Genomic DNA, 10,440 nt, shown 5'->3' with positions numbered 1-10,440 from the left:
CAGTAGCGATATAAGCTTGCTATTTAGCAAAGAAAGTAAAGAATCCGTTCAAAAGAGTTGAGAAAAGGCTGGGCCTGGTGGCTCACGCCTGTAATCCTAGCACTTTGGGAGGCTGAGGTGAGTGGATCACTTGAGGTCAGGAGTTCAAGACCAGCCTGGCCAACATGGTGAAACCCCGTCTCTACTAAAAATACAAAAAAAATCAGCCGGGTGGGGTGGCGCGTGCTACTTGGGAGGCTGAGGCACGAGAATCACTTGAACTTGGGAGGCGGGTTGCTGTGAGCTGAGATCGTGTCACTGCACTACAGCCTGAGCAACAGAGGGAGACTCTGTCTCATAAAAGAAAAGAAAAGAAAAGAAAAGAAAAGAAAAGAAAAGAAAAGAAAGGGTTGAGAAGGTTACTCCTGAGGAGCAAGAATTGGTGGGGAGAGGGGGAGTGATGGAGGGGGCTGTTGCGTTTCTTATCAAGTCTTGCAGAACTCTTGGTGTCTTTAAACTATGTGCTTGAAAATTTCTGATTAAGAGAATGTGATAAAAGATACAAGGAGGAACAGGAGGAGGAGGAGGAAAAAAAGAGGGAGAGCCTAAGAGTCTAGTAGACTGAGCTCTCCTGTATGTTGGGCAAATTATTTAATTTCTATTATTTTCTTCTGCAAAAATGAATATAATAGTACATAACTTGCAGGATTCTTTTTGTCTCTAATATGTGGTAACCACATGTCACTACTGGTTATTGGAAACACAGACCAATCTACCAAAGGATAAACACTCAGGTCTTGGTTCCTCACTTCCACCTGGCTCATTAAACTGTTGGGAGATCCAGTGCAGTAACTAAGTCAAACCTCACATCCACTTGGAACTAGGCCAAATGTGACTTCAATAACACATCCAGCATGGTGCCCAGTGTTGACACTAGTATGCATGGAGGGTTGACTCCATGCTGGTCTCTGTGCTAAAGGCGTCACATGGGATTGTCCTCCATCGTAACCACAGAATGTTCTTAATTACCAGCACAGCTGCATACACTGGGGCAACAAACAAACAAAAACAACCGTCACAGTGCATGTGAGTAAGCACATCAGGGCAGGCCTGAGAGACGGGAAAGGCCAGAGGCAAGCACTCTCCCTTATGGTGTGAAGCTTAGTGTTTGCGTCTTGTCCACTTTCAGAAAAGATTAGTGAGGCCAGGCACGGTGGCTCACATCTGTAATCCCAGCACTTTGGGAGGCGGAGGCGGGTGGATCATCTGAGGTCAGAAGTTTGAGACCAGCCTGGCCAACATGGTGAAACCCTGTCTGTACAAAAATACAAAAAAAAATTAGCCAGGTGTGGTGGCAGGTGCCGGTAATCCCAGCTACTCGGGAGGCTGAGGTAGGGAGAATCTCTTGAACCCAGGAGGCAGAGGTTGCAGTAAGCCAAGATCGCATCATTGCACCCCAGCCTGGGCAACAGAGCAAGACTCTGTCTAAAAAAAAAAAAAAAATCAGTGATTGTGTAGCAAGAGTAAGCCAGGATTTAAAGACAGAAGATCTGGTTTCAGATCCCTACTTCACCTATTGGGCAAGTGTTTCTTGAGACTGCTTTCTTATTTTTAAATTAAAGCTAAAACAAGAATATGGACTTTATTATATGGTTATCATGAAACTTGAATGAATTTATACACACACATATAATTTACCACATAAAGAGTAGCTTTAGGCTGGGCGTGGTGGCTCACACCTGTAATCCCAGCACTTTGGGAGGCCGAGACAAGAGTACTGCTTGAGGCCAGGAATTCAAGACCAACCTAGGGAACATAGTGAGACTCTGTCTTTACAAAAAATTAGAAAAATTAGTTGGGCGTGGTGGCACACACATGTAGTTCCAGCTACTTAGAAGGCTGAAGCAGGCGGATCAATTGAGCCCAGGAATTAGAGGCTGCAGCAAGCTACGATTGCCACTACCCTCCAGCCTGGGTGACAGAGGGAGATCATCTCTCAAAAAAAATTGCTTATATATTAAAAATATGTAACATAGTATATAAATATATAACTACTATTTGAAAGAGTAGACATATAACAAATACACAATAAATATATAACTATATATAATAGAGTCTACATACAAGTTATATATAAAACTACTCTTTATATGATAAATTATACTCTTGTCGAATAAAAAACAAATCCAGACTTGGTAAGAGTAGACTTTTATCCAAAGAGAATTATTGCAAGGCTGGGGGAGGGGAAGGGACTATTGCAATAGGGAGAAGGCCCTGACCATCCTTCTGAAAGCTTCTTAGGAATAAGGCAGACAGGAATTTTTTTCCTTTCTAGGGAAGAGTAAACAAGGCTAGAAAGAAGCAGGTGTGGGGAAGGGGGTGGGTGATGGGGCAGCAGGGTCAGGCAGTGAGGCAGGGGCTGTTTGACCCAGAGGCCTGCCTCTTGTCAGGAAGGGCTGTTTGCTGGCTCAGGCTGAGGGTGCCCAAAGTCCAGGGGCCTTGAAAAAGAAACTCTTCAATGAAGTTTGGTTACAAGCATTTTGTCCCAATTGATCCGTGGAGACAAGCAGCTTAGCTAATCATTGATGAGGCAGAGCAAGGGACTCTGGAGGGTCTGTGACTGGCCTTGTCATAGGTAAAGTCTTAATCTAAGTCATTTGAGGAAGGGTGGGGTTCTTTGCCGTAAGCAGCTTGCTTTACATATTTTTGGGGGTTTAATTTGCAATATAAAATTCTAATAGACACTTTTCTCGCTATTATTTACTATGAAATATTTGGTTCCCGTTTTTAGTGGATTCACTGTAAGTGGCCATTTTCCGGGATCAATTGCCCTCCAATAATGAGAACCTTCTGCTCAGCCCCAAGAGCCTGAGACTCACGCCGGATGTCGCTGGCCATGAGCATGAAATTCCTTCAAATTCTCACATTTCATCTTAAAATATTTTTATAATCTATAATATACTTCTGATAAATTACTTGTTAAATTACTTAAAGTTTTCCCTAAAGGTCTTTAACCAAAAGGATCCTCTTTCTTAAGAGCCATTTTTATCCTGTGGCTTCACACACCCTGTGGCATATTGGATGTTTCCCTCAGGATATAGAAACTTTATTTGAAAAGCTTGGCCATAAAGAATGATCCAAATTACTTGGGCCTTGATGTTCAGAGGGGAATGTTGCCAGCCAACGACCATACACAGCCATAGAAAGATCTCAAAAATGTTCTCTTAGAATATCTAGCTTGGAGCAATGCTCTGATGGCTCTTTGAGGAAAGTTAATTGTAAATGTACTCTTGAATTGCTAGATTGATTTATAACTTTAAGTCTTTTTGAGCATGATTAGATATCTGAACCCAAGGTCCCCTGATTATACTCCTATGTCATGTCAAACAGAAGATGTATCCCATCTCCATTTAAAGAACTCCTCATTTGGTGATGAAAATCAGTTTCTTCATCTTCCTTTTTTTTTTGACAGGATCTCACTTTGTCTCCTAGGCTGGAGTGCAGTGGTGTGACCATAGCTCTCTGCAGCCTTGAACTCCTGGGCTCAAGCGATCCTCCCACCTCAGCCTCTCGAGTAGCTGTGGCTGACTACAGGCATGCACCACCATGACCAGCTATTTTTTTATTTTTATTTTTTGTAGAGATGGGTCTTACTAGATAATCATAGTTTCTTTTACTGTGCCTTTACTACATATCAGAAACAGGGCCAGCATTTTGCATGCATTATCTCTAACTCTCCTAACAGCCTGTAAGGAAGTTGTTACTATCTTCTTTTAACAAATGACAGAACAGAAAGGTTAAATGATTTTGCTAAGGCCACACAGCCAGAAGGTGGAGGTTATAAGGCTCATACCCTTCCCATTAAAGCAGAATACCTTAGGCTTCATACTTGGGTTAGGTTCATAGTATCAGTGACCAGAATGCCCCTTACCCCAACTTTTTCAAATACCGGTGGTCTCAACCAGGTTTTGGAGAGAAACCGGACAACAGCCAGTGCAAGGTTCAGCGCCTCGATAACAGTCCAACGCTCAGAAACTCTACTCTAACTGGAGGAAGACCCTCCAACTTCTTTTTGCTTTCTTCTTACTCACCTTTTAGGGGCAGCATTTAATGATATGGAATATTCTTTCTGTTACAGGAATAAAGTGAAGTAATTTGTATTTAATAAAATTGCGCACGCTCTCTTTTAACCCATTTTTTTCCCCAGGTCGATATTTTTACATGGGGAGCAATTGGAGTTTTCAAGCTCAGCCACTCCATTATTGATCATTGATTTACTATCTGTGGTTGTGAACGAATCTGTCTAAACCAATAGAAGATTGAGGGGGTTTTTTTGTTTTGTTTTTTGTTTGTTTTTCTTTTTTTTGAGACAGAGTTTTGCTCTTGTTGCCCAGGCTGGAGTGCATTGGTGCAATCTCGGCTCACCGCAACCTCTGCCTCCCAGGTTCAAGTGATTCTCCTGCCTCAGCCTCTCGAGTAGCTGGGATTACAGGCATGCACCACCACGCCCGGCTAATTTTTCTATTTTTAGTAGAGACGGGGTTTCTTCATGTTGGCTAGGCTGATCTCGAACTCCTAACCTCAAGTGATCTGCCCGCCTCGGCCTCCCAAAGTGCTGGGATTACAGGCATGAGCCACTGCACCCGGCCAGATTGAGGTTTTTTCCTCACCTCTCGTTGGCCTTGACAAAGGGGCCAGGAAGTGGACCACATATGAAGAGTATAGATCCCTAGTTGCTGATGTACATATAAAACACGCATTTTGATACTGCCATGAAAATCAAAGTCCACAGGAAGTATTTCCTGGCAGAAATGTCGTTATAAACATTTTCCAAATTTTTAAATTATAAAAGTATTATAAAAACTCTAAACCAGAATGTCATTCTTTTTCTTTTTTTTTTTTTAGATGGAGGCTCACTCTGTCGCCCAGGCTGGAGTGTGGTGGCGCGATCTTGGCTCGCTGCAACCTCTGTGTCCTGGGGCTGCTCCTGCTAGGGTGTCACCATGGGTCCCCAAGCTGATGTGATGCTGTCAGCATCCTGTCGGCACCTCCTTGGCCTGTACCATTTCGGGGCATGCTGGCTGACATTCCGACTGCCAGCTTCTATATCACTTGCCTGAGGCCTTTCTTTGCCTGCTGCAGCCTGCTTTGCCCACATATGTGGTAAACCAGACACACCGGGGAATTCATGCTCCTAGAGCAGCCCTCAACCATTGATTGATGGGAGTTGGTATATATGCCCCAGCTCCCTCCCCGCCTCAGGTAGGATGATTCAGAGGCTGTTCAACACTCCCAGAATTCCTCAGTGGGGATGAGCTTTAATTCCCTTAGTAGGAACTAGCTTGGTAACACACCTTTTTGGGGGCCTTTTTTCCTTTCCTGTCTCACTTGCCCACTCTCCTACTAGTGTTTACTGGGATCAAACAAATGACTTGTATTTGAATCCCTTTCTCCAGGTCTGCTTCTAGGGGAACCCAAACTAAAATGGATGGGTTATGCTTAGATCAAACTAAAGTGATACAAGACCATTCTTTTGGGCCATTTTATCTTGTACCCTCATCAACGGAGTCTTATTACTGTAGGGTGTCAACTAAAGACATTGCCAATCCTGTTACTCAGCACTGCCTATACGAATTTCATTGTGAGAAATTTCTTCTAAAACTTACAGCTGGAAAAAATTTTGCTTAGCCTGACACGCTGGTATATTTCCTTCATTCTGGTAAAGAGAATTAGATTCCAGACATCTGTCTGTCTGTCTCCTTTTTTTCCTCTCTCTTTTCCTCTCCAGATTTGCCTTCAGGGAAGCTCAGAAGCCAATCTGGAGTCCAATAACAGCAAATATGCAGGACTTTATCCCCCGTGTATGTGTGTTTCTCTTCCCTAGTCTTGATTTCATTTCGTGTATATTTTCTGTGATCCTAGTTATTCATTCTTATTTGGACTTACTCCTGCTTTAGTGCATGCATCTCTTTGCAAGCCGCCAATACTCTGTGGAACTAGTGGCCATGTGAATAAGGTGTTTAAGAAGCACTTCTTTAATGAATTATATTTGGATGCTAACTGTGCAAAGATATTGTTATGAAACTAGAGAAGTATGAGTCTCCCCTCCAGAGCACCTTCTCACCTTGTAGGACAGTGCTTTTTCAACTCTCTGGTTTCTGTAATTGTCTCCTTGGATGAAATCTTACATGGAAGATATGGCAAGTCAATAAAAAGAAGCTGTTCTGGTTGAGATGTGTGAGTGAGGGGATAGGAAATCCTTTCACTCAGCTTGGGAATCCTCTTCCGCTACACCCCCTACACCCTGTCTTTTGGTCCCCCAGGCACCAGCTTCTAAACTTGAGGTCTTTGTAGAGCACTGGTTGACAAACAGCTTTAGAGACACAAGCAGGGTGTGGGCCTTTGATGCCAGGGCAGTGCTGGGGACAGCAGCTGCGCACGGAGCTGTTCTGCCGCCACCCAGGAAAGGGGGCGCTCACTGCTGCAGGCTGTCTACCCACCGGACAGGGCTGTTCTCCCCAAGTTTGCCTTATCACAGGCGCTGACCTATAGGTCAAGAAGCAGCCTCGGCTGGGCACGGTGACTCACGCCTGTAATCCCAGCACTTTGGAAGGCCGAGGTGGGCGGATCACAAGGTCAGGAGTTCGAGACCATCCTGGCTAACATGGGGAAACCCTGTCTCTACTAAAAACACAAAAATTAGCTGGGCGTGGTGGCGTGTGCCTGTAGTCCCAGCTACTCAGGAGGCTAAGGCAGGAGAATCACTTGAACCCAGGAGGCAGAGGTTGCTGTGAGCCAAGATCATGCCACTGCACTCCAGCCGGGCAACAGAATGAGACTCTGTCTCAAAAAAAAAAGAAGCAGCCTCAGGGCAGTTTCCTCCCCAGCCCACTCTGTGTCACTCCATAGCTCGCTGGGCCCTCTTCTGGCCCTCTTGACACCTCCTCAAGTCCCCTCCTCAAGCCTGGTGCGGATGGGCAGGAGCAGGCTGGGACAGAGGTGAAGATCCAGGGGCTGGCTCGGCAGGAGAGGCAGGTGTGTGAGGAGACAGACCTCTGGCTCTGCCTCTTTTTCTGGAAGCTATCGGTTCTAAGCTTAGACACCAATGCACCCCCCACCCCCAGCCCGCACTGTTTGTCTAATAAGGAAACCTTTTTGACCTAGCCAGTTAAAAGTCCCGGCCCTTCACCTCATTACTGCCAAGGCCAGAACTAAAGAGGTGAAAGCTGGCAGCCTTGGGCTGCCTTCAACTTGGCAACTGGCCCTCAGGGTCTGTGTCTCGAAGTCCCAGCCTTTCAATAGGGCTGTGTTTTCAATCCTGCTTACACAAAGCCGCACGGTCTCCCTCCTGGGCCTGAGCGCGCCATTCTCATCTTTCTATGGGGGATTAAGGGCTGCTCTCTTGTTTGAGTGTCACTCTGCCTTTGAACCACTGTGGCTTCATCTGGTTTCAGGCTCAGCTTCCTGCCAGGAAGTGGATTTACCTCTGATTTGCTGTTACTCTCTCTGCAGGATGATGCTGAGGGGAGTGAGTTCCTTTCTCCCCAGACACCACCACCAGCTCCCCGCTTCCACTCCCCTCCACGGCTCTCCAGCTTGAGCCCTTGACATAGCTCCCAGCTCCCTCCTCTTCTGGTGGAATTCTCCTCTCACACAGGGAAAGCGGAGACTCTAAAGATAGGGGAGCCCCAGGCTGGCTCACTGGGGTTGCGGGGGAGGTTGGAGGTGAGGGAGCTGGAGCTGGAGCTGCCTGAGAGACTGAATGTGCACCTGCTGGGGCTGTGGAGGAAGGTCCTGGATTGAGTCAGGGCTGCTTTGGGTCTCTCTGGGGTGGCAGCCTGGAGCTATTCTCTCTCTTCCTGAAAACTCCAGAAAAGAGTTGAGACAGATGCTTCTTCCCTGGATGCTAAGCTTAGACTGGAAACCAGATCTCTTGAATACAAACCTAGAGACATTTTTACCTTCTCCGTGGAGAGTGTGTGTGTGTGTGTGTGTGTGCGTGTAAGAGATAGATAGAGAGACAGAGAGAAAGAGAGAGAGACAGAGGTAGGAAGGAGAACAAAAGTCAGGTGATTTTAGGTACACTGACATCCAGGCAGAGGAAGAAGATTCTTCCTGGAGGGGAGCCAGTTGCTCTACTCTAACAGAGATCAAGAGAAATATCAAAGTATAATTAGGTCGGCGTCGGACTCCATGTGCTGAAAGCAGTAGTTCGGTGGCCCACAAAATAACCTAGGTTTTATTAATGATTGGGGGAGGGTGAGTTGTGGTGGTGAGAATCCACAGTGGCCCCTATTTCTGGAAATGCAGCTCAGGGGTCTGTGGGTGGAGTTGTTCCTGGATTCTTTCTAGATCTCAGGGGAGAGAAGCTAAAGAGCAGGGTGATCTTGCCCTGGGAGAGAGATACCATCTCTGGATGAAGACAGGTGTGTTTTCTTGTTTGCTTGTTTTGTTTTATGTGCCATCCTCCTACATTACCAGTTAGAAGAGAAAACTGCACTCCAAAACTGGGAGTGAAGAGTCTGAGGGGCACTGAGACTGAGCCAGGTGCGCATGGGTGTAGCGGGGACTGATGGAGAAAGGCTCCAAACATTCTTACGGGAGGAGGAGGATGGTGTAATACAGCTAAATGCCAATGGCAAAAGAGCTGAAAGGGGGGTGTAGCTCAAGCGGACAGAGGCAAAGAGAGAGCCCTTGGCCGGCGCCTGCAAACACCACCCTCCAGGGCCTGGCCCTCCCCTGTGTGCCCTGTTGTGGGCCTCAAAGGGTGCTGGCCCAGGCCCTGTCTGCCATTCCCTTCACAAAGCCGGGGTTGTGTTCTTGGCAGGGCTGGGCCTCCCCGCCATTGAGGTCCCGGCTGGGGCTGCCTGCCCTGGGAGCCTCCCTTCCCAGCCAGAGGCCCTCGATTTGTCCAAGTGCCAATACCTAATGAGGAGCTCATTTGAATCCATGCAAAGTACCAGGGAGCAAGGAGGCATGCTAATTAAAGTGATTGCTGTTCTTTAATTAAGCAATAATTCCCCCAAGGAGGGCATTATCATGCAAATAGAGCCCTCTTGGGTGAGGTAAGGGCTTTGGGCAACAGCTGAGGTCTGTTAATAAGGCCCCTGGGCATCGGAGGGCAGGCATCCAGAATGCCCCATTGAGCTGGGTGATAGAGCAAGGGAAATAATCACCCCTGCGCCGCACTGCCTTTTGTCTCTCCAGGCTTTGGCTGCGGAGCTGTGGGAGGCGGGGACCCTGCACCCCCTGCTGTTCCTTTCCCTTCCTCTCCCTTTGCCTCCTCTCCAAGAAACGTTTTCAGAGCTGTGTGAGGTGGAGAGGTTTGTAGGACAATGTCTAGTTTGGCCCTTCACACAATCGATGTCCCAATCATCAGAGCATCAGCCCAGAAGAGTTGGAATGGAGCCTCCTGAATGTTCATAAACAAGGAAGATATTGCAAGAGGCTGAGCTCTGTTGGGCCACTGTAATAAAATGGAAAGAGCACTGAAATGAGCCATCGACCTGGGTGACTGTGGGCAAGCCACTTTCCTTCTTCAAGACTCAGTTTCCTCATCTTTAGAATGGGTTGCTAGTAACTACCTGACGCAGTTATCATGTGAGTAAATGAATGTGAACGTGTAGGGTATTTAAACCCGTGGTTCCCAACCTGGAGTGATTTTTGCCCACAGAGGAAGGCTGCCAGATAAAATATATTTTGATATCAAATATATTTGCTAATTTTGATATCAAATTTATTTGCTAAATCTGACAACCTTATCCCAGAGGACACTGGCAATGTCTAGAGATATTTTGCCACAACCAGAGGAGTGGGTGCTACTGGCATCTAGTGGGGGGAGGGCCAGGGTTGCCGTTAAACATTCTCAACTGCTCAAGAGAGTCCCCACCACATGGAATTATCTGGCCCAAAATATCAATAGTGCTGAGCTTAAACAACTCTGACCTAAACAATGCACAACAAAACTGAGTTAGATGAAAAAATACATAAAGAGATAGTAGATTTTCTGAAGCAGGACCATAGTAGTATGGTTCTAAATCCCCTAAGATACTTCTGTTTTCTTGAAAGAAAAGGTTTTAAATAGGCCAGGCACGCTGTGGCTCAAGCCTGTTATCCCAGTGCCTTGGGATGCTGAGGCAGGAGTATTACTTGAGGCCAGGAATTTGAGACCAGCCTGGGCAACACAGACTCCCATTTCTACAAAAATAAAAAAGAGAGAGAAAATTAGCCAGCCATGGTGGTGAGTGCCCGTGGTCCTAGCTCCTCGCGAGGCTGTGGCAGACAGATCACTTGAGATCAGGAGTTTGAGGCTGCAGTGAGCCATGATCATGCCACTGCACTCCAGCCTGGGCCACAGAGTGAGACCCAGTCTCTAAAAATAAAATAAAATAAAATTTAAAAATAAACAAATCATGGAACAGACTGAGGCTCAGTGGCACACTGATACTGGCAGTTCCACGT

Source organism: Homo sapiens, chromosome 11 (genome assembly GCF_000001405.40).
Source record: "Homo sapiens chromosome 11, GRCh38.p14 Primary Assembly".
Lineage (NCBI taxonomy): Eukaryota > Metazoa > Chordata > Mammalia > Primates > Hominidae > Homo > Homo sapiens.
This window is presented reverse-complemented; position numbering follows the sequence as displayed.